Source organism: Homo sapiens, chromosome 7 (genome assembly GCF_000001405.40).
Source record: "Homo sapiens chromosome 7, GRCh38.p14 Primary Assembly".
Lineage (NCBI taxonomy): Eukaryota > Metazoa > Chordata > Mammalia > Primates > Hominidae > Homo > Homo sapiens.
Window position 1 is genome coordinate 117,849,047 of NC_000007.14, and position 25,954 is coordinate 117,875,000.

General features: G+C 39.7%; 1 protein-coding gene across 12 annotated transcripts in view, besides 1 other annotated feature; it reads right to left on the bottom strand.

Moving 5' to 3' along the window:
• CTTNBP2 (cortactin binding protein 2) overlaps window positions 1-24,395 on the bottom strand; it is a 162,791-nt gene extending 138,396 nt beyond the window's left edge. For 7 of the 12 annotated variants that reach the window (NM_001363351.1, NM_033427.3, XM_017012706.3 and 4 more), the window contains exons 1-2: window positions 24,289-24,395; window positions 12,163-12,270 (exon numbers count right to left, since the gene is read on the bottom strand). Coding sequence is in view for 10 of the 12 variants with exons in the window: in NM_033427.3 (NP_219499.1) it covers window positions 12,163-12,270; window positions 24,289-24,369 (189 nt within the window). In the remaining 2 variants the exon portion in view is untranslated. The other 5 variants (NM_001363350.1, XM_024446963.2, XM_024446964.2 and 2 more) reach the window with 4 other exon arrangements.
• Window positions 10,410-10,610: a silencer, noted in NCBI's record as "fragment chr7:117499510-117499710 (GRCh37/hg19 assembly coordinates)". NCBI's record gives its function as "represses an EF-1alpha promoter that drives an FKBP-Casp9 reporter gene in an ReSE screen in K562 erythroleukemia cells {active_cell/tissue: K562}" and the evidence as "EXISTENCE:reporter gene assay evidence [ECO:0000049][PMID:32094911]".

The following is a 25,954-nucleotide window of genomic DNA, read 5'->3' on the forward strand; positions in this document are numbered from 1 at the left end:
TTGCTGACTTTTGAAAAAGCTGTCCTGAGAAGAGCCACTGCCTCTTTTTCTCATCAAGTAGATGGGCAAAAGAAAAAGACTAGACAAATTTACTGGCCGTCTTGCTTACTGAGCAGAAAGCCTTTCCAACCCTGACACCTAATCAGCATCAGCGATTTCACCGCAAACCCGATGTGATGTTACACAAATACACCAGCTTTATGAGTGACCGTCCTTTGGATCAGCGGTTCTCAAACTTTAGCATGCATCAGAATCACCCAGAGGACTTGTGGAAACACGGAATGGAACACTTTGCTTTATCCCCAGAGTTTCTGAGTTAGTTGATCTAGGGTAGGGATTCTAAGAATTCGCATTTTTAATGAGATGAAGCTGATGCTGCAGGTATGGAAACCACACTTGGAGAACAAAAGCCTCAGATCATTCCATTTTCCTGCTTGATAATCTTCAGGGACTCTGCACTGCCTACCAGGCTAAGCACATAAATGCTTCAGCTTGGCATTCAAAACCTCCTGGATAGAGCCCATAGGAACTCCTACTCCATCAGTCCATACCCCTGTGCCTTCATCCATTACCTCCTCACTCTGCCCAGAGCACACACAGATCCCGTGCTCTGGCTCTTTCTGATCAGAACACACTTCTCATTGTTCTATTCATTAAGGTACTCATTCTTTAAAAGACTACAAGAATGCCACCTCTTCCCAGAAGCCGTCCATAATTCATCTTCATTAGAACTCTTTTCTCTGGGCTTTACTAAAACACGCAAGCCAGCCCTGCATTCTAATTAGTAGCTATTACCTAGCTCTCTTCCACAAGATTATATAGAAGAGTAGTTAAGAAGATGCATTTGGAGATAGAAAGACCTGGGTCCAAACTTTGGCTTGGCACTTAGCTGTGTGACACAGAACACTTTCCTTAACCATGAGCCTTAAAATGAGATAACAACAGTACCTACTTCCAGGGATACTCATGAAGGTTAAATGACATAATCCACATAAAATACTAAATAGCATGCCTAGCAGTTAGGGCTCAGCAAACAAAGGCAGGTATTACCTGGAGGTTTTGGAACATCCTCCAATTCTTCAACATTTCTCCCCTGTCAGGTTTATGTCTCTTCACCTTGAATCTGAGCTATGTGACTGCTTGATTAGTAGAATATACAATAGCCTCCCCTTATCTATGGGGAATATGTGCCAAGACTCTAAGTGCATGCCTGAAACCACAGATGGGACCTATGTATATGGTTTGGTTCAAGGCTGCAGTGTGCTATGGTCGTGCCATTGCACTCCAGCCTGGTTGACAGAGACCCCTTCTTAAAACAAAACAAACAAACCACCTCTATATTCATTGGTACAAAACAGCCATACTGCTTTGTAATTTCAAGTAACCAAAGAATGACAGATAAATAGGAGAGACTAACAGTCACTTTGAAAAGCAAGAAATTCATGAGGCCATCATCTGCATACAAGGAGAGATCAAAAGGAGACACGGCAAAGCAGTTGCACAAAATAAAACAACTTTGAGGGAGTTGCACAAAATCCAGGGAAACCTAAGTAGGTGGGGACCAAACAAGAGAAACATGGTTATTTTTATTTTATTAGATATATTATAAATATTAATATTTTGCAAATATTTTGTATTCTTACTTTGGCCCTATTATTACACAGCCCTCCACAGTGGGTCTAAGAAAAATACCATATCAGTCATGGTACATAATCTTAACAGCCCAGTACTTTTCCATTGTCACACTTATCACAAATGCAACTTATTATGGTTAGTGTTCTTTACTAGACAATAAATTTTAGAAGTACCAGGACTATTTAGCTTACACTCTCTTCCCAGTGCAACACCTGATATGATAAATATACACTGAGAAAATATTTACTAGGTGAACGTTGAACAGCTAAGCACTAAAAAGGCTGTTGGAAGAACTAGAACAAATGCCTGAATTAATTGAGCATGAATTCACATGGAGTATAAACACAATGTCCTTAAAAAACAAAGTTTCTACCCTGACACAGAAATTGCATTAGGAGCAACTATTTGCTGTCACCAGTTAGAAAATAATGCACTCTTAAGCTTAGCATGGTGGTACACACCTGCAGTCCCAGTTACTTGGGAGGCTGAGGTAAGAGGAGCTCTTGAGCCCAGGAGTTTGAGTCCAGGTTGAGCAACATAGCAAGACCCTGTCTCTATTTAAGAAAAAAAGAAAAGAAAATAGAGGGAAAAAAAGAAAAAGAAGAGAGGAAATAAAGGAAAATAATGCACTCATGCTGGAGGAGATACTTTTATTCCCAATCTCTTCTGTCTATTCAAGTCCTGTTAATACCTCCCCACCAACCCCCTCACACACACACAACAAATTACATTTAGAGCCATCACCCAGAATTCAGAGCTTCATGGAACCATACTTTAATTAACATCAACTGTAACTGCTTCCTCAGATTCTTTCTTTCCCTTTTACTGTCAATCTATTTCCAAAAGTGGTTAACGTAATCTCCCTTAGACACTGTTTTTACCACATCTGTTTCCTACCTCGGAGCCTACAGTGAATCTTAATTGTCAACTGTCTGAAATCTAAACTTATTAAGAGTTTAACATATTCACAGTATCTATTAAGACTTTCTGAAGCTCTTCCATTAGTTGTCCTATCTACAGTCCACCAAACCAAACTCACAACTTGTTACTATTCCCATACAGGCACAAAAACACATGGAACCTCTGATGTAGCCAAGCAGACATGATGGAAGGTTGCTTCTCAGTTATGCCAGTCAAGTCTCATTATTTTGTCAAGAAACTCCAGAAGGAAGCCCAATACACTTTTGAGACTTTTTTATGAAAAATGTATTCCCAGGCACTCACGGAAAGAGACTCATCAATAGAAAATCATCAACTCTAAGTTAACTTGACAGGATTACTTAAAAGTTTGTCTTAAAAAGTCTAATCTAAAACTAGATTCTGTTGATTCAGGCTTCATGAAAGGAAACCTGAACTTTCTAACAAGGCCAATGACACATCCGCATTTTAATACATCAATTACTTAAAATACTGAACTCTTCCTTGGTAGTGCCTCTATCATGACCCTGGCTTACATAATCTACCCTCGCAAATTCACTTCAACTTTTATTGATTGGAAAAAATAAAGAATTTTATAACATCAAGGAAATCCATACAACAGCCTTTCATGGAAACCAAACCAAATTTCTATTTAAGGACTGAATTTACTACCTGCTGATGTTTTGCATATACAAAACCAAAAAAAAAAAAAAGATCAAATATGAAAAACTAAAAGATTTACAAATTTAAAAACAAAATGCAACTACAAGAGACAGACTTAATGACTAAAATATGCAAAGATGGTCAGGGTGGAAAGAGCAGTTCCTTAGTAATTGTGTCCTTGTGTATTTCAGAAATCTCCATCACTTCCCTAAACTCAGGTTATGCAGCATTCTCAAGTGCACCAGCATGTTCTCTCTCATCCTATTAGAATCATACCCTAATTACAGAAAAGCACAAGCTTTTGGTATAATTAATAAGAAGGACACGTTAAAAATCAATGATGTTCCTCTACCTTATTATACTTGCCATTCAATAGGATCTTAAAAATCTTCAAGGCTTTACTTCTGTTTATAATTACCTGCGCTCAATTGCAAGGGAACAGCAAATGAATGATTAAACATAGAATACTAACAATTTCTTTGTAGCTTCAATTTCTATGCAGCTTTTGAAATTTACAATTGATTACAGGTGTGTAGAAATGGTCTGAGCCCTCGTAGCAATTAAAGTAAAGTAAACAATCCATAAATGACAACTTTCAGCTCTAGGAAAATGCTTAGTTTCATTAATGTTGCCTTTGGGGGAGAGACATGGTGAGGGCTAAGGTTAGGAGTCAGACAGAAAATGGCATATATCCTATTAGCTTTACTTTCTCTGTTCCTAAAGTAGGGGTACTACCACTGATCTCAAGAGATTTCATAGGGATAAGAAATAATGCCTATGAAGTGCCGGACATATAACGAAAACCTAACAATATTAAGCTTCATCTCCATCCCCTGTTCAATCTCTAGCTTGTTGTAAATAGCAGTTAACCTCAGGATTCCTGCAAAGCATGAGCCAAATGGAATTACCCTTTTCTTGACTTTGGTTTGCTTAATGCCTAACCCACCATCATGGGATGGATGGAGGTGGCTGTAGAAAAGAAACTGTTTTAGTTTAAAATGATAAAACCACCCTCTTCCTTTTTCATTTTTTAGTTTACTTTTAGCTGGTTGTGAACAGAGGTGGCTGCAAACAGAATTACTTATGCAAAGTTGAAAATAATGCCACAAAAAATTTAAAAATTTACATAATAAAGATGATGCTGCACACTGTATATGAGCACACTGCATTAGACCCTTGTTTCCTCTTATAATCAAAACATAGAATTCCTCATAAAGGTGGCAAAAGAAATTTCTGCAAAAACCCATGACTTGTAGCTTAGCCACCCATGAGCTGGCTAAAATGTAATCAGAATGCCTCAAAGGAATACCTTGTATTTTCAGATCACATGGAATTCTAAAAATGAACTGTTAATTAGACTGACAGTCCCCATAATTGTGATCATCTTCATAGTATACAAAAATATATTCCTGGTTTCATTCTATTTGTAACCCTGATTCTATCCTGCACCAGAACGGATCAAATGGTATGTGGGAGATTGAGCTGCGAAAAGCCTCATCTTTAGTGTGTTCTCCTTACATATATCTTGGTAACTTATTAATAATCAGCAGGCAAATGCTATGCAGTTACTTCATTTGCTTATTATATGGGCCAGAAATGGTGATCATAAACATTTTGCTTTCATGACCTCATCACCTGCATTTTCTAATATATGGAAAAGCAATGTTTTGCATGGTATTCTATTTTTTGTTTGTTTTTTACTAATGGTAAATGTTTATCAAAGAAAACATTGACCAGAAGAATCAAAGTTGATTATTTCAGTGTTTGTCCTGCTGGAACAAATACAATGCTACTTAAAAATCATCAGCTATTTGTTCTTTCTGAAAACTGATTTGCTTGCAGAAACAACACAAAATCTGGTCAACACCCTTCTTCCTTTCTCTAGCATGGCACAAAAGCATTATCTCAACAGACAGGAAAGGAAACTTAAATTAATTTTTGTTTTCATAAATTCAGCTCTGCTCAGCAAATTAATTCATTCATTAATTATAATGAACAGCACAAAAAGGGTATGTTTTGGTCAATCAAATGCCTGCATTCACAGGAGAATTCTGAAATACAAAAGACTGCATGTTTTACTTAGCTGAAACCAATAAAAAGCCAGATTGTTATTCTTTTATCAGGATTTAGCAGACATGTCATATGAGGAAAACATTCACAATACTCTGTAGCATACTCTGCGGCTGCTTTTAAAACTAGAGTGGAACCATTATTCTATTTAAAGTGATTGCCTTTGTTCTATGTCAAGATTCTAGCACTGAACCATACAACCATAAAGGCTTTTTAATTTGAAAAATAAGGCATTTAATTTCTGCATAAGAAACTGTAATTCAATTTTAAATAGTAAAATATGTAATACATTTTGAAAGGGCCCTGAAGTTGTTAAAATGGGCATTTTCAGAATAATTACTTTTAGTTTAAAGGTATACTTTTTCAAGAAAATCACTGCATCATTATGCAACGTATTTGAATAGTTTTTACATTTATTTTAGCAAAAATAGATGATTTAATTAATTAATTAATTTATTTATTTATTTTTTGAGACAGAGTCTCGCTCTATCACCCAGGCTGGAGTGCAGTGGCTTGATCTTGGTTCACTGCAACCTCCGCCTCCCGGGTTCAGGCGATTCTCCTGCCTCAACCTCTCAAGTAGCTGGGATTACAGGTGTGTGCCACTGCACCTGGCTAATTTTTGTACTTTTAGTAGAGATAGGGTTTCACCATGTTGGCCAGGCTGGTCTCGAACTCCTGACCTCAAGTGATCCACCTGCTTCAGCTCCCCAAAGTGCTGGGATTGCAGGCATGAGCCACCAAGCCCAGCCTGAGATATATCTTATAATCACTGGCAAATTAAATCTGCCTGTCCCAAGGCAAGGGCTCGCTGTTGCAAGTGGTTGGGCTCAGTTCTATAGAGAGGATGGGGGTCAACAAGCTATTACCTCATGCGGACTGTTTGCATTAATAGCCATAAATAGAGGGACCTCATCCCAAATTTGCCTGCCACCATGCCTGGCTAATTTTTGTATTTTTAGTAGAGACAGAGTTCCACCACATTGGCCAGGCTGGTCTTGAACGCCTGACCTCAAGTGATCTGCCCGCCTCGGCCTACCAAAGTGCTGGGATCACAGGTGTGAGCTGCCACGCCTGGCCAATTTTAGCAAAATCAGTTTTAAAAATAGTCCCTCCTTGACTAGTATTACCTCCTTAAAACAGCATTTCCCAAGCAGCAGCAATTTGGTCCCCCATGGAGAGACCTTCTTGTTGTCACAACCAAAGAGTTGCTACTGGCATCTAGTGGGTAGAGACCAAGGATGCTGCTAAATATCTTACATGTGCAGGACAGCTCCCCCCAAACAGCAAAAAATAAATGGTCCCAAATATCAACAGTGCTGAGGTTGAGAAAACCTGCTTTAAAGCAAAATTACTTAAGAGCTTTACATTTTATTTTTAATTTTGAACCCAATGAACAGTCAAGTTTTTGAAAAGGAAGATCATTCTAGGCAAACTCAACATACTGAGTCACGGTCTGAGAAAAGTAAAACTTAGGCCTAGATGGCACTATACAGAACAATTAATTTTAAATATATAAAGCCAAGAAACAGAATTTTCTAAACAGATACAATTTTGGCATAATACATCTTCACTTACATGTACTTCAAACGTTATTTTTATGCCTGCTACATAATAGGTATTCATCAAATCCTTATTGAGGAAGGAAGGAGGGAAAGATCTATCTTCCTATATCTTAGCCCAGGATATTTTGAAAGATAATATTGAAATCAAGATAGGGTCCCTCCCTCTTGGACTTCAGCAGGTTGTTAATGTTGCCCCAAGTCCTCCCTTCTTCCATAGTACTACAGCCAGCCATGGCCATTTTCCAGGCTCCTATGCAACTAGGAAAAGTTCCATGTCTATGAAAGGTCTCACCGATACACCTGTGTGCACTCTGCAGAAGAAAGACCATACTTAGAGGAAATGCTTGCCCTCCATTTCCCATCTTTCCCCCTTACCATATGTTGGGATGTGGAGCTGGCACTGATCCTGTTTTAAGCATGCTGATGAGGCTAACTCCCTAAGAAGAGTAGTAAAACAAAAATAACATGGGTTGTTGAATGACCACTTAGCATGGAGCTGCCTCTCCAGCTGGGATCACTCACCTCCAGATTGTTATGTGAGAGAAATGAACTTATTTAATCTATTTATGTTGAGTCTCTTTCTTACAGCCACTTGTACAAGGCAATTCTATAACTGATAGTTTCCTATGTTATTGGGGTCATAAATGCATTCTATCTGAAGAAATGTTAAACTGGCTAATTTTTAAAAGTTTCAATGCAAATAATAATTTAAAGTCTAGATTATATAGTTACTTTATATGAAGGTTAGGAGGAAGAATTGCCATGGGTTTATGGTCAATCTCATTTATCCAATCTAAAAGGAAAAAGGCACAGAAAAAATCTGAAGATAATTGCCAAAGGAATTCATTGTTTAAATGATATAATATTTATGTAAACTCATGCTAATGATGGCAGGCTGGGCACTGTAAAATGTAGGCTTAAGCACATAATTTTGACTTTTAAAATTTTATGATTATAGCATTTTCATCGTCTTGACTTTGTCTCTCTTTGACTAAGATACCTGTAAGAATACCAGTAGCAACAGGAAAAAAGAAACAAAGGCCAGAAGACTCCACAAAGTTAATTAATCTTGAATCACGGATTTCTGTATAAATTGTGTACGCAGATTTTGAATAGCCAATTAAATTTAATTCAAAAGCTTCTGTGCCTATCTTGGTGTTCAGAAAATGCAGCTGCTTCTCTTTGGGCACATTCTTTATTGAACTGCAAAATATTTTTCTTTGGACTTTATCTGAATGTTATCTGTTTGTTCAAAGATTTATTCCTACTCTATGTGAATATGGAGGAATTGTTGACAAACTAAATAATTCCCATGAGAATCAATTAAAATACATTTCAGTTAATCAGCTTTATGCAATTCAGATTTTTCCATCAATATTGCTCTTTTAAAAAATTAATGTCTTCAATACTATCATGGGCTTTTTATACTAGGAAGTATCTATACCTTAAATATATGAAAATAGCAAAGGTACCAAGATATATATTGCAATCTCTTAACATCCTCCCCATCCAAAATTATATTTATGGATTGCTTTGAAAAGTCCATTGCAATTAATTCAATGATGTATGCAATTTTTAATAACTTGAAATCAAAGCTTAAAGATAGCATGATTTAAAGTAAAATAGCTTCATCTGAAATATATGTTTAAAGATTTTAAAATTCTAAAGAATTTGTCTCACAACAAAATCATTTCTAAATTTAATAAAGTTCAGTGTACAAATTAGGTAACTTTATAATTTATATATTAAGTTCAAAACTATTTACTATTTTCAGAGGAATATTAATTTTGGCTGAAAAAAAAAACCAAGATGCACTTCCTTCACAGTTGAATAGCAGCACACTGATTACCGATTGAGGAAATTTTGATTCTTGATTTAGGAGTAAATTGATCTCATAATGTAAAACAAAATTAAAATGACAGTTTCACAGCCTCTCTCCTTCCCAATTTCTTTCTGGGGCATTAGTCACTCAGTTACATTCCACCCCTATAGGAAAAGGCAAACAGATGACATACTGTGACCAGTGAATATCCCAGGGAACACTCAATCAGTAAATCACCACAGTGATACTATGATGGCTACCACAGGTATGTGAAGACGACATTATTACCTACTGTAAAAAACACAATCATCTAAATAAAGAAATCACAATTCTCAATTTTAAACCAAAAAAGCTTCAGGAATCTCCATAGGTCGGGCGCGGTGGCTCACGCCTGTAATCCCAGCACTTTGGAAGGCCAAGGCGGGCAGATCACGAGGTCAGGAGATCAAAACCATCCTGGCTAACACAGTGAAACCCTGTCTCTACTAAAAATACAAAAAATTAGCCGGGCATGGTGGCAGGCACCTGTAGTCCCAGCTACTTGAGTGGCTGAGGCAGAAGAATGGCGTGAACCCGGGAGGTGGGGCTTGCAGTGAGCCGAGATCGCACCACTGCACTCCAGCCTGGGCGACAGAGTGAGACTCCGTCTCAAAAAAAAGAAAACAAAAAACAAAACAAAACAAAGAGCCTCCATATACACCGAGTTCCACAGGGCAGGCTGTGTGAAAATGAACTGGAAGCTCTTATGCATGCCATATCTGTGGCCTTCAATAAGTCAGAAGTCTCCAGGCTTTTTGTTTGATTTTATCTATAAAAAAAGGAAACTGGTCTTGGCCAGTGGTTCTCCACAGGAGCAGTACCCTAGGATGTGTTTTGGAAACAGATGAGCATTTTTGGTTTTCACAGTGATTGGCACTTAGGGAGGCAGAGAAAAGATGTGGTTCCTTTCCACATATCCAGGAACTGTGCCATGTTTCAAATATCTCTCTGTTCATTCCTTTCACTGGAACCTTCTATATGACCAGTCTAGAGGGTAACTCCTTTTTACTTATTAAACAAGTCAATATAATTTTTAACAAACTGAATTTTCCAGGGATTCAACTCCTGTGTATGTGCGTACTTTTGCTTGCAACTTTACTAAGTCATTCACCATTTCAGAAAATCACCTCACCCACCACAAATCTGCTGACTCAGAGTAAACAACATAGCAGGATGGGATCAGGATTCTTTTGCAACTATTATATTCATGTCAATGCCATGAATAGGTTCAAATAGACACGTGTTTTATCACGTCTTTCAGTACAGTCATGTCTGAGCATTTATATATTGAGTACATCATATTTTATTTTAAATATTTTCCTGGTATCTTTGTATTGGTTTTGTAATTTTTAACAGAACCTACTTATACATGCAATTCTCCATAAATTTCATTGCAGGATAGTAAGAAGGTGATAACATATTTTATGAAAAGGAGACACCACATCTGACAGGGATGCAAAACACTGACCTACAATATCATCTAAGGCTCCCTGTAATTCTAACATTCCTTGACTCTATGAAAAATGTTCATTCGGCAAGTGCTGATTATTAGCAAGCCTTTACGTCTACTCTCACATTTCAACATTTCAAAGTATTGCAATTAAATTAAAAAGAGAAATACATGTGGTTGCTAAGGTGATACATAAAAACACAGACTTCACTAAATGTTCAAACATTGATGTGAGTAGTGGGGAATTCCACAGTGCTGATGCCTTTCACAAGTTAACACAGAAGGACCAAAAAATATATATATATATCTAAGGCACAGCTGGAGCCCTTCACTTCTATCTCACCACAAGAGGCTATACTACTGGCCTTCGCAGCTGACTGTGCCCTTGTTCTGTCCTTGGGCTAAGGGTCACATATGTTAGTTACATGCTGCCTCAGCATTTCTCCCAAAAATTTCATTCAGGAAAATTTACATTTGCCAGCAATACAGATGTTCTCAATGTGGAATAGGATGAATATAAGCAAACTGCAAATGTCTACTGAGCAGAACTTGTCATTCAAAAGGCAACACCTTCAACTCAGTATCGGCCACTATACTTAACTATACTACCATTTTTCTGTGGCAATTTGTTTCTGCAATCAAATTGATGGATAATCACTACATCTGCTATGCCAACTTCTGGTTTATGAAAATACATTGAAGACATGACTTCAGGAACTATCTCTTCTTCCCACACAACTGAGTTCTCCCCATGTCCACCCTCTCCATTATTATGTCTGACCATCCAGCACTACCACCTCCCTCCTCTACCATATACGCTCCTGTCACAGGTAACAATGTGTTAACATTCCACAGATTTTCATATGTACATTAAATTAGACTTCCTAAGACAAGGTTTGAGGAAACAATTCCCTGATGAAATAAGATAAACCCATACTTAATAAATATATCCTTCTTGGCCAAATGACCAAGAACCAAAAAATAACTAATTACAGACAAAGTATTAAATAGAAAAGAAGGAAAAAAACAAGCACCAAATTATGTTTGATCTACAAACCAAAATAAACGCAAGATCCAGAATACTTAATTGGAAAATTGGTGATTAGACTTTCTTGATGTATTGTTTTTTCTTTTCTTTTTTCTTTTTTTTTTGAGATGGAGTCTTGCTCTGTCGCCCAGGCTGGAGTGCAGTGGCGTGATCTCGACTCACCGCAAGCTCCACCTCCCGAGTTCACGCCATTCTCCTGCCTCAGCCTCCCGAATAGCTGGGACTACACGCGCCCGCCACCATGCCCGGCTAATTTTTTGTATTTTTTAGTAGAGAAGGGGTTTCACCGTGTTAGCCAGGATGGTCTCAATCTCCTGACCTCATGATCCGCCCACCTCGGCCTCCCAAAGTGCTGGGATTCACCATTGTTTTTTCAAAAAGAAAATTTTATTGAGACATTTAAGTAATATATTCTTTGTAAGCAATTACAGAAATATTTCAAAATTACTGAAAGACCAGAAAAAATTAACACTTTGAAGGTATGGATAAACATTTACTTTTTAATGCATGAGTTTCTAAAAATAAAAAAATAACAATTTTTATAGGAAGAAAAATATCTATTACCAGCAATATTTTTTATAAACCTCAACTTTTCCTCACTGCCCTCACATACATGTAGGATACCAAATTAGCAATTTTCTGAAAACACGTTTCTAACCAAATAAACATGTGAAACATAAAAGGATTTCTGAACGAGTACAGCTGACTCCTCAAGTTTCCCGTACTAAACAGTTTCGTCTCGGCCCCCAGCATTTCAATGACCATCTGACTTCAGTGTTTGTTTGGGCTTATAAAAGTTATGGGTTAGTGTTTGGGGTGAAGAGCACATTTTGACCTGATGTAACATTTTAAATCTATTTGATTCAAAAATTAAGAAAAAGAAGGTTTGCCAATGGCTCTTTGAAAAAAGCAAATGATCCAGCATGGAGACCCACTCCTGTGTCGTCCTTACCCGCAGGGCCTCGATGACAAGGTCTCTGGCCTCCAGCTCCCCTTCCATCACGCTGAGGAGCATCCGCAGCTCGGATTTACTGAGAGTATCCACATCAAACTCTTTTTTCTGTAACACATAAAAAAATAAGGCCATGAAAAATCTTTTCCTAAGGAAGACACACACATCCTAAGGGTATGCAATGAATCAGTTTTATCCCAGTGGCTCGGCAGATCCAGCAGGCACCGGGGTACTATTTGCAGCAGACAATTTACGCCTTGACCTTCTAGGAGGAGAGGTAAAAACTATAACGCCAATCTCTCAACTCTCCTCTCCAAGGAGCTATAGTTGCCCAGCCTGCCTGCACACCCAGACTCAAAATCTCTCCAAATTACATAGCACAAATTTAAAGTCCCTGGAGTCTGAGGCAAAACAGGTCTGGTACATCTTGGGGGAGTGGGGGAGTTTCAAGAGAAGCAAAGAAAGCATGGATGTATTCCTAGAAGGGCCCCAGCATAAAGGTTCCTGGGAGGTTATTATAAATTCCAGAACATCCAATAATAATAGGTCATGCTTATACACTCTGCAGCAGAGGCCACCAGCTGGCAGCCAAATCTGGCCCACAGATGTGTGTTACTCGGGTCACAAAGTGGGTTTGTCGTTGTTGTTGTTTTTCATTTAGCCAACATTAAAAAAAATCTGAAGATGTCACCAAAAAATCCAGATCCCTGGCTTGTCTTTAAATGTCAGATGACTGGGTAACTCCAGATTCATATTTCCTCAGGGCAATAATCCACCGAGCCAGGAAGTAGCTGCCCCTTTAGAAGGAACACATTCCTCATGTTGCCAACCCTCCCTCACCAGCACATACACACACACACACACACATACACAGTACAGGCACACGCACTTTTAAGAAGCCAGGACTGCCATCCATGTGTGGTCATCTGGGCTGCCATAGTCAGGTGGGTTTGGAACCCCTGCTGTTTGGTTATCAAAGTGACTTCTTATGAATGCCTCTGTAGCTTCTTGGCAGGCCTGGGAGGGAGCTGAGGCTGGAGTAAGTGAGCCTTCCAGGGACCCAGCTACAGTACAAAGTCAGCACCAGAGCCCTAGGTGTGGGGTGGGGTGGGGGGGCGGTGTGGTGGTTCATAATTTCTCACACAAGGTTCTTCCAGCCCTTTTGTCTTCTCTTGTAGATTTCTTCCCTGAGTGACTGCATCCAACCTCTCATGGCTTTAAATCCCATGAATATACCATTGACTCTCGATTCTTTTGTCTTCCACTCCAACCTTCCTCATAGCAACTTTTACAAGTAGGTTCTCTGGCATTCGTTTTAGAGATAAAGCTGAGAGCAAGTTCACAGTCAGCCTGGGTGAGTCCAAAGGCTGAGATCCTTCCACCAGGCACACTCTGCTCCTCCCTTCTGTACACAAACTCATTTGACAAGCTCAGTCACCATCACAGGGAAGAGTAACACAACATTTATCCCCAAATCTCTCTGTAGACTCGCCCTCAGAAGCCATTGTTCAAAACATGCCAGAACATTACTTCACACTTGCATAGCACCCAATGGCTTCCAAAGTATTCTCAAAGAATTGACTCTAATTTACACCATATTGCCACCTCCATTTTTAAAATAGAAACTCAGAAAAGTCAGATGATATATGCAGATCATGCAACTAACCAGTAAATGGTAAAATCAGGATATATGATCAAATGCCATGATTTATCTTCACACTTTACCGGCATGGCACCAACATTCTAGAATAAGCTCTTTGAGATGAGATAAAAATGGTACCATCCTGTCAGTCAGCCAACATGAACACTGGTCTATTTCTGTGAAGACACAAAAGTATACATAGCAAAGACAATAAATGATTTCAGAGGCTTTCAAACAGGCATGACCAGAATGGTCACATTTAAGTTTCAAAATAATCTTCTGGAAAGAGATATGACGGTACAAAGGGGAAAGAGACTAGAGCTAGGGGGTTCTCTCAAGAAAGGTTTTAAAAGGATCTCTCTCTTAAAATTATTTCTTTTTGCATATACACTAGACAGAGAAGTTATTTGGAAAGGCAAGCGCTAAGGATAAAGAGAAAAGGAAAATCTATAGCAAGCATAAATCATGTATAGTTCTGAAGAATCCATCCTTCAGAGATTTCTTGCAGATGCTCCCTATGAACAGTAAAATCCAATGTACCAAGTCTCAGTTTCTGCTCCTACTACACAGTAGTGTCCATAAGGTCTTATAAACTAATTGTTCTCAAACATTGGCATGCATAAGAATCACCTGAAGACCTTGTGAAAAAACAAGCCACGGGGCTCCACCCCTGGAAATTGTGATTCAGTGAGTCCGAGGTGGGGCTGTGAATCTGCCCTTCTAACAAGCTCCTGCTGATGTTGCTGGTCCACGGACTACATGGTGAGGAGCACTTCTGTAACTCATGCCATCCTCTGTTTTCTCATCTGTATAATGGAATTCCTAACGTCTACCCTGCATTCTTGTGAGGATTAAACAAGAACATATCAATGAAGTAAGTGCCAAATGAAGGCAGGCGATTGTTATTATTAACCCAGATGTTTCATGTAGAGAGGAATGGGGTATTGGCCAGGAGCCTATTTCTTTGAAAATCTACCAGCCCAAGTCCAATAAACTCAGTTTATTCACTATGATGAAAGACAGGCTCTTTTATCCTGGTTTTTCCCACTGAGATGGGAGAGTAAGCTGCAATTCTTATGTGCTTTAGAGTGTAATGCTTTATTAATGATGCTGCTGGTTGCTCTAAAGATTTTAATTAATTGTATATTTTATTGTCTTGTTTCTCCAAAGCTTTATAAGCAAAGTGCTCCATTTTAAAAACTAATAAATTATGAAAGACATTGCCAAGATCCTGATTCATATTAGAGTCAGGAGAGCCTGCCCTGCTTCCATCAGTAGCAGCAACACATGTGACCTACAGCTAAAACTTCTGTTTTTCTATGTATTACCATCAATAAAGAGGGAAATTCATTAAAATAAAAAATATTGGTACAAGCATTCTTGCTAAACCATAGATTATGTCACACAGAATGTTAAAAATAAATCTGTCTCCCATCACAACATATGAAGTGATGTACTGTTTGAAACATACAGTGCATCTGTCTGCTTGTCTCTCTTCCCTCTATGACTCCACCCCCACTTCTCCACTACTAGTCATAGTAAAATTTCTCTACTAATTCCTGGCCTTCCATAGTACAAATATAATAATAATATTTTCAAATTGTCAACAACTTTTATTTCCAATTCTATTCTGGCAAAACAGGGTTAAAAAAAGTACTGTGCATGAAAAGATGCTGGAGATCTTAAGACTCCAAGTATTTTATAAATATAAAGCACTTTAGCATTTTTAGAAAAATAACCCCAGAAGCAAAAATTCTAACAAAAACTACATTTTTGTTAGAATATATATATTCATATATCTAGATGTATGAATATATATTCATATATTTATATATATTCATATATATTCATATATTCATATATATTCATATATACATATATTCATATATATTCATTCAATATATATTCATATATATTCATTCAATATATATTCATATATATTCATTCTATATTCATATATATTCATTCAATATATATTCATATATATTCATTCTATATTCATATATATTCATTCAATATATATTCATATATATTCATTCAATATATATTCATATATATTCATTCAATATATATTCATATATATTCATTCAATATATATTCATATATATTCATTCAATATATATTCATATATATTCATATATATATGAAGTGGCATTAATCTTAGATGCATATGGTACAAAAGTACTTAGATATAGAAAAAATATTAAAGTTTCTTGGTTTAAGAGCCAAACGAACTATTTTAAGTCATATAATGTTTATAAAAGATTGCCTTGATAATCTAATTTTCAAATTGGATAGAAGACAGGACAGATTCAAATGCTGCCACTCACACAAAAAAATTAAGGTCTCTATCAGGGCACCATGAAAACATGACCCCCAAATCCCCAACGCCCCCCAGAAAAAAATCACAGCAGACATGTTCGCAGACTAAAGTTTACTATTGAACTTGCTTTTCCCAATTAAAAAAGAAAAATCCAGCTATTTTTTAGTGATGAAAAGAAACTAAAAACAAAGTAAAACCAGACCTGTGCCAGGCACGGTGGCTCACGCCTGTAATCCTAGCACTTTGGGAGGCCAAGGCCGGCAGATTGCCTGAGCTCAGGAGTTCAAGACCAGCCTGGGCAACATGGTGAAACCCCGTCTCTACTAAAATACAAAAAAAAAAAAGAAAAAAAATTAGCCAGGCATGGTGGCATGCACCTGTAGTCCCAGCTACTATGGAGGCTGTAGGTGGGAGAATTGCTTGAACCCAGGAGGCAGAGGTTGCAGTGAGCAGAGATCGTGCCACTCCAGCCTGGTGACAGAACAAGACTCCATCTCCAAAAAAAAAAAAAAAAAAAGAAAAGAAAAAATAGAAAAACAGATTTCAATTCCACAGGCCACTCTTCTGCCTGTTACATTTGCCAGGAAAAGCATTCCAGAAAAAGTGCTTAACACCTAGTTTTAAAAATCTGGCATGGCAGCTTCAACTAATCCAGAATCTGGTCATCAAAGTATGTCTTGTTTAGGATACAAGTCATATATATTAATTTATTGTATGTTAATCTATTGTATATTACAATTTATTATATATAATTTATTTAAAATTAAAAAGTATACTTATATAATTATATATATAATATATACATATATATAGTATATTATGTATAAATGGAAAAGGAGAAATAATCCCAAACTCAACTGTTCAACACTGTAGTTTTGAACAGCTCTGAATTACTTGGCGCAAGCGTGGGGAGGGCATTCTTCAGGATTTTTTCTCATACAGGCTGAGAAAGAGAGAAAGAGACAGAATAGACAAAACAGACCCTGGCTGAGTAAACTCATCTTAAATTTCCAGAATTGAACACAGGCCAATACCAAGTTTCCCCCTCCCCAAATCTAAAACACTAGGTTTATGTGGGGAATTCAATAGATACAGCTAAATATTAACAGAAAAGTCTTACCCATACCCTTTTAGAATTAGTGGAACCAACCAACAGTGATTGATTATCAGAATGCCTTCAGGAGACATTATGAGCCACAATGGCAGAGACACCCCTCAGATCTTTCCTCAAACACATCCGTCCTATCAGGGCTGCTGGGGGATATGTTGGTGACCAAACACAAACTCAGGCACTTTCTCTGGCTCTTCCCACCAACACCAAGAGCCTCTCTTCCAATTTAAAATCCAGCAGGTTGTGCCTATTTTCCATCAGTAAGCTTTACACAGGAGAAAGCAGGCAGACTGGAAGGTGGGGTGATGAGCAATGTGGCTAGGGAAGAATCAGCAAAGTAGGGCAAATCATTTCATCTGTTTGAATCTCAGGTTTTCCATCAGTAAAAATAAGGATGCTGGAGTAAGTGATCTCTTAAATCTCCCCCATCCCCTAAATGTCCTGATTTCATGTACCATCAGGGTAACTGGATTACTGGACTGAGGAAATTCATTTAGGTCATTTCCTGAGCCTAAAAGCGTTTGTGAGGTACTTGAGGAAAACTGATTTTGCCTCTTTGCTCAGAAGTTAGAGAAATGTATTTTCCTCCCAGTTTAATAGTGCATGCCAATAATAATGCATTTAGAACTTTCTATGTAAGCAAGATTTATGCTTTGGGGATGAATAAGGGCTATCAAAAAGGAAAAGCAATGAAATCAACTTGAAAGTTCACCATCACAATGCAAAGGCTGTATCACTGACATGCAAAATATTAAATTCACCTCTCTAGGTACATAAGAACATGCACTATATTAAGAATTCAGCTAATTGTAAGGGTTTTCATGAAGAAAAGTACATACTTCTCAAGATCTCAAAGTATTTTCAAATCTCTGAAGTTACTTCTTGCCTTGAGATTATCTTCCCGATTTCTCTCTCTACAAGGAGGAAAGAATTTTTGTGATGGGGTTGCATACCTCTGATGCTGCTCTTCCTAATCCTCCATTCTCCTCTGATTCATCTGGGTACTATCTTTCTTCAGCACATAGCTCAAACCCACTTTTGAATGTCTTTCCAGACTCCAGAAATCTCTTGTTCTCGCCATTCAGTCTTAAAATCTGCTCTATTACTTCACTTGGCAGTTAATCATGTCCGGCCTTGTGCATTTCCTCATAGTAAACTTATTATCTCTATTAACTCTATTTTCTCACTCCTACTAGATGTGTCAGGACAGTAAGAACATTACTTCTTCACTTATTTTATCCAACATGCTCCCCCTGCCCCCACCCCACCATATACACTTTGGGTATAAAATGTCTACTGCACACAGTATGAAAACAGAAAGTGTGCAAAGGATGTCTCAGGTACATCCATCTTACTAAGATACAATGTTTCAGCCCACTCTAGGGGGAACTAAGTAACTGTATTAGATGATTCTCTCAGTGTTTCAAAAATCATTTAGAGTAACCTAAACTAGGGAAGCTGCTTGATGTTCCACTTTAAAACAACATATAGTACGAGAACATGAGATCTATTTGGTGTCAGCTCTCCAAGGTCATGCACCTCAAATCAACCACACTGTCTGGGGTCTTTGATGCAAGACAAGAAACTCAGTGTATTGAAAGGAGGTAATACTGACAAGGAAACAATGTCAGGAAGGAAACCTGGTAATGGATGTAACTAATTTTAGCTGAGAAAGCTGGAAAGAATGGCAGAAAAGTGGCTCAGGGGTGACAGCCTCTGATAATTAAGCTCAGCTACCTCCCTTTTCCTCCTTTCAGATCTCCCCGCAGTCTCTATTTCCTCCTTAGGGAAAAAAAGGACTACATCTCAAATAAAACAAACATCTATTTTCACCCTAACTCAGTTTTTCGATGTGACATCAGCCCGACATGGGACATGGATCAGCTCCACAGGCAAGCAGACATTCAAATGTAATAACCATCCTTTAAGAAGCTTACAATGCATTAAAGAATAGTCTTGATTATCTGTAGGTGGCAAATATCTGCACGCTGATTTTCAAATGAAAAGGCTGGGCCAGATGAAGACGCAGGCCTTTGGAACCATCTTGTCTTTTCAATGAAATATAAAAATGTCAAAACCAAATCATCTGCAAACAAGTACTCACTCTACACAGCAATGTTACCTCGACTACTCTACATTTACTATAACCTTTTAAACTGATCCCCAATGTATTAGTTGGTTACTAACAATTTATTTAAAGAGAGTATCTCCCCCTACTCTAAAATCAGGATTTCTATATGGAAGGCATCATGCTGTACACGGCATTAATAATATGATCTCATTATTTGTGTAAGTTATTTAAAACATTAAAATTTTAAAAATCTTTCAATATCGATGTCATCATCATCGTCTCTCGTACCTGTCCTCTGATTCCTTACCTAACTACCAACAGAAAAGACAAATCTTTTTCCATGTTACATAAGCTTTGCAAAGGAGCACCAACAGAGAATAATGTAATCGAGTATGTTCAAATAAAGTATCCTTCTAAAGCAATACTCAGACAGGCCTGGGTAGCAAAGTAAATGAAGTTGGGGGATACTGCTCCATCCTTCCTAGGCACATTCAAAGTTGAAATTCCAGTCCCACATTTCTGTGAAATTGCAGACTATTCTAAAGCCTTGCCTAAACTCCTTTTTTCCTGCCCATTCTTTCCTTTTATTCCCCTTTCCTGTTTCCAAACTTCCCCACATTTCTCTTAACCCCCTATCAATCATCCTCTCCTCCACACCCCAATGGGTGATGTGGCCTTGACTCTTATTATTGGAAGGATGCAGGATGGTAGAGGTGCAGCCTCAATCATCATTTTGAAAAGCGAGAATCTAAAGAGAAAACTAATAGTGTTGGAAATTAAACTTTTAAAAAACCCCTGCAAAGAATCTAAGAAGTCATTGAGAAAAGCAGCTTGGAAAGCGGCAGTATTAAGATGAAAATTTTAAAAGAATTAGGGTTATCTTTTTGGATCAAGATCTATAATATCTATAACATTAATTATTACAAGTCACAGGCCAATAATTTCACTATAAGATAGCTGGTAACACACAAAGTGAGTTTTCTAATTAGCCAATCAACATTAAATTTTATGACACAGCTTCTTGGTGAGCTTCTTTTCATTTTCTTCATTCAGTAAATATTTGTGGAACACTTACCATGTGCCTGGCATTGTGCTAACCACCTTTGCTTTCTTTTACAAACTTCACACAACTCTCCTCGGAGGAGGAGGCTGCTTTCTCCCAGCCACAGCCTTCCTGTCCACATGATCAACAGCAGATATTTGTAAATGTCTAAGTACCAAGGCTGTGAAACATTTTCTCACCTCATAAAGTTATGAGAAACACACAAGGATAGAACCAACTGGTAATCTAGCCCAGGCATGGATTCAATCACTGAGAGGACAAATGTTCTCTAAACAAAATTGCTGCTGTGAGAAATACAATAACAATGACAGCAACGACAATAATAATAAAGTTCAAAAACTGGGGCAAACAGAAATCTACAACCTATTATTTAAGAAGAAAAAAAAAAGAGTGAAAAGCAGGACACTGAAAACAGTTATATTCTCATCTTTGGAAAAATATTCCAGTCAATTTCCTCAACTTCCAAGCTATTTTTCTGAACCATATAGCTGAGACCAGAATGGGAACCTCTATGCTCATCACTGAAAACCCTTCGCATATGGCTCCCTAGGATATGACCACATTTGCACACTCCTTCTTGCAGTGCCGGTCCAAATCCTCCTTCAGTCTCAAGGACTACTTCAAATGTCATCCTTCTATGGAAGTTTCTAGATCCATCCACTAGGGACCCTCTCTATGACTGTTCCTCTCCAAACTTCTAATGCAAAATCATTTTTGCCTCTCATGACACCATCATCCCCAATTTGATTCCTTGGCGTATGTCAGTTTCTATCACTGGAATGTATTACTTTAGGGTAGCAAAGATCATACTCATGATGCCTGTATCTCAGTAAGTGTTCAGTAATGTGTGTTAAATCTACGTTATTTCCTATTTAAAAATTAAGCTGCAACACTTTCAACATTCTATAGCTGCCACGTAACTATAATTTAGTTTAAAAAAACGCTTAGCGCAATTGGCTACGAAAGTTCTTTTCAGTGCATTTACATTCAATACTGTCACCTGGAAAACAAAAATTTCAAGTTCAGCTGTTAATTTGTTTAACATCACTGTCGTGCATTTTAAATCATTGTCCAAGTTTTTCTTTGTCACTGCCACCATGACAACAAATTTTATACCTACTTCTTGTCTATTAGCTGCTCCAGAAAAGCTCAGAATGACAAGAATGTTGGTTGGCTTCCCAAATATAGCTCTAAAAAGATCTCCATTTTCCTTTCATTCCAAAATTCTTTGGTGACAATAAAAAGCATGAAGATTTCGTTTTCCATACTGCCTTATCCATTAGGAGTTATTTTCAGAGTGGAAACAGCAATATGGCCTATAAAAGTCATCACATTTGGCTAAGGCACTGAAAATAGCCCAGGTTTCCCGGCACGGTTCACGGCAAAGACTATTAATATGATCCTATTGAATAATGTAGCTGTTACCCAGCCTTAAACTTGGGATGCTTTCAGGATTTAAACAGCTAAGAATGAGGATCACAAACTAAATTTAAAACATTCCACTAAAAATGATATTAAACTGAAAACTATAAATTAAGCTTGTTTCTAAGCAACAATCTAAATAGTCAAAGCTTAGTGAAAACACTCACTTTCAAAAATAGCCTACTGCTTTAGAGCTTCCATTGACTCCTTACTGCCAAATGTATACATAAAAATGCACGATATGTAAACCAATTTGAAAGTCAACAAATCTCCAAAATGCAAAGTGAATTGTTCACTAAAATAAAAAATATCAGTCAACAAGAACCCAAAATGCATAAAACGCCTCTGATTTTTAAGGAGCAATTGTGATGACACATATCACTCCTCTACACTAGCTTTCCTTTCACTTAAAAATCAGTCTATAGGTCAAGCGGCTGATATGAGAGAACCATGCCTTATTAAGTCAAAACTATTTGGAGAACTAAAATAAAAGGCCCAATTTACTACAAAAGCCATCATCAAAATTTTACTAAAAATTCAGAAATTATTACTGGTTTTTAAACTACTAGATGAAGAATCCTTATTGCATCTCGCAACCCTAAAGGATTCTATGGAAATAGCAAAGAAGGTTCACTTTCGCAGATTTTCCATGGCTCTGCCCATTAACAAGGGTGAAATTATCAAATCCCCAACTATCAGCAGTGAAAATCAGACTTGAACATTTTAAACAGAAGAGAGGGAACACTGACCTTGTTAACACAGAAATCTGCCTGGCGTCCTGGGTTTTGTTTACGATCTAACCAAACAAAACTATATATCAGCTCTACAGACCATCAGTCAGATGTTTGTGTTTGGGTTAATTGTCAGGTGATTAAAATATTGAGGGTAACAGAAACCCATTCTGAGTGGATTAAGTAAACAAATTCAACCTTTCTGGGGAACAAGAAACACACCACACACACACACACACACACACACCCTCTTTCTTTTTCGTCCTTCCCCTTCACACACACACACACACACACACACACACACCCTCTTTCTTTTTCCTCGTCCTTCCCCTTCCCACCTTTTGGGGATGAAGGCACCAAATCATTTCCACTTGCCAGAGAGCCTTGTCTCAATAGCTAGTTTCCTTACTGTGCCCCACAGAGGGGAGCTGATTCACATAAGTGGGCAGGTTTCGTTTGAAATCTTAAAGTTCTCATTTTCTATGCAAAGAATGGAAACTCAATTTTCCCAAAAGTTCAAATCAAAACTTGCCAGTTTTACAAGTGGAAATTAGCAGTCCTCCTCCCCGTTTCTCCTTCCATTGCCAGGCTCAGCTCCTCTCACCCCAAGTACCTTCCTCCACATCTCTCCTCTCCCTCTCCAGAAAGCCCTACCTCCAGAGGGTGGGAGGAAGTTAAAGCGGCCCCCGCTGTTTACGCCCGGCCCTGCCCTCTCCTGCACTGATTCTGCTCAGGTCTTGATAGGAAGAGGGGGGCGTCCACGCCCCGCTCGCTCCATCCCACCCCATCCTTCGGCGGGAGCAGCCAGATCTGGCCAAGAGTGGGAGGCGCTCCCAGATCTGCCTTTCTCTGCAGCTCCTTGCAGCTCCTGCGAAGCTGCTTCCCAAACACCGAGAACCTTTTCCACCCAGGAAATGTGGGTCCAGCCCTTCCCCAAAGTAGAGGCTGGAAACCACCAGCGAGTCTCTACACCGGAATATTAAGGGGGTGAAAGTAAGGACCAGTCAAGAATGGTAGCGCATTCGGCCTCTAGACTCCAGAGAAGGAGAACAATGTCTTGAAACCAGGTGCAGAACCTCCACCTCTCCTGAGCATCGTCTCGGGAAGAACCAATCCATCCACCCCACCCCAATCACTACCACCAAGTAATGGGGCAGCAGGCTGCTAGGACCTAAAGCGCTGGCCTCAGCGGCAGCAGCGCCCACATCTGGACACGGCCCTCTCCCAGTGGGCCTCCCGAAGGCACAGGACCAGATGCACACAATGGGCATCCCCACACCTGCTGGGCGATGGCCCACCTCCCCCAAGCTGCTCTCCCGGGTCCGCTGAGCGGTACCAGGCACCCCCGAGACACGCGCTGGCAACCACGCGCGCAGCGAGAGGTGAACAATGGGGGGTCAAATTCGCCAGGAAACACGTCCCAGCCTTCTCCCCCGGCCAGAAGCGACCGCAGCGGAGGGAGTGGGCATAGGGGTCGCACTGGACGCAGACAGGGAGCTGGGAGAACCGGGCGACCCGGGGCCGCTTCCCGTGGGGCGCGGAAGGGACAGGAGGGATCCCCAGCCAGGGTGGCCGCTCCGCTCCCCCCCGCGGCCTCCGCCGTGTGGGCATCCCGAGGAAGGGGGGCCCCGATGAAGGGGCACCGGAGAGTCCCGGGCTTACGGAACGCCCCGGGGGTGCGAAGTCGGGTCCGGCTGGGACCCCGGCGCCGCCCCCGGCCCGCGTCTACACTAGCCCCGCGCCCGCCCCGGGAACTCGGTTACCGCCGCCTCCGCCGCGGCCCCCGCCGCGTCCTCCGGGGCCCGGGACAAGTCGGGCTCGCAGCTCGCGCCGTCCGTCGCCATCTTCCTGCTCTAGCGGATCCGAATGCGAGCTCGGAGCCGCGGCTCCGGACTCAGCCGTCTCCGCGCGGGCGGCACTTAACCCGCTGCTGTCCGGGACGCGGGCGCCTGGAGCCGGGAGCCGGGAGCCGCGGCACTCCCTCCGCCCCTCGCCACCGCCCTCGCCGCTTAACCCGCTGCGCGCCGGAGCGCCCCGCCTCGGTCCCGCCCCGCGCCCCGCGTCCCGCGCCCGGTGGCGCCAGCCGCGGGCTCGTGGAGGTGCGAGAAATGGGCGCACGACCTGGCTCCGCTGCGGCCCTGCGCGGGGACTGGGGATCAAAGACCACGGAAGAGGTGAAGGCAGAAAGCGCCCGAGGAGCGTTGCATTCCGCAGAACCCCAACCAAGCCGGAGAAATCCGTGCACAGACCAGATTAAATGTCAGGCCTCCTGAATCTGAATTCTCTGAAAGATCAGGGAAAATCCTACACTTCAGCTCCCTCTATCCCACCGCGAGGAATCACACAGGGCACCCCTTTCTTCTTAAATTGCTCTTTCTTAAATTTCATTGCCGCCAGGGTGTTTTTATCCTCCCTATATATATACACACCTGGCTCTGATTTATTCTATCGTTGACTCTAGTGTTTCTCCAAAAACAATTCTCAGATGAAAACGATTTGTCTGTCCTGTTTTCTTTTAGAACGTGGCACCAGCCCCTCAGCTCCTAACTTTCTATACAATCTCCTTTTCAGGGAATGTGTAGCGGGCTGTTTTATATTCTGTGACCCCCCTAAGTCTGAGATCTCTCCTGAAGGACTAACTGAGAAGTGTTAAATGTCATAGCTTTAAAAGCTAAATGTCATGTCCTCTACTTTTGAGAGAATTTAAAAAAATTACTCCCTACGTGTGAGGACACGTGTACATATACACCAAAAACAATCAAACAAAAGCCGTATTTGTAAAAATAGATTTTATGGGAATTACACGTCTCAGAAGATTTTTCATGAGATGAGTGAATTAGGCCCAAACGCTTAATCTTCCCTTTCCACATCTAATTCAGTTCCTACCCTTTGCTGCCAATTTCCAGAATGTGAAAATCTATCACCTCACCAAGACCATATGGTACAGCCCTTCCCAAATCACCAGATCCCTAAAAATGTGTCGAATGCATAAAATCAAATTGAGACATTCAAGCTGTGTCTCAAAGACGTAAAATCAAACCACAACCAAATCTTGCACTTGAAATTTTGGAAGATGAATGACTAGAATGTTCAGTCCAAGGGTTACAGATCAAAGCTTTTTTTTTTTTTTTCCTTTTTTCTTTCTTTCTTTCTTTCTTCTTTTTTTAATGGCAGGCTCCTAATGAAAGGTTTTGACTCTTTAATTGCTCCACTTTCCAAATTAGACCCAAATATGACACAAACCAGGGCAGAGAAAATCTTTTCTGCAAAGACCCTGAAAGGGATTGATTAATAAACTGTGAAAAGTTCCCTCCCAGAAGAGAGGTCAAGAAAGAACTTTACCTAGAACTCTGGGGCTAAAAGTCAGAGGCTTAGAAATCATCTCCAGGTTATCCTGTGAGTACAGGTACTTATTTATTTATTTATTTA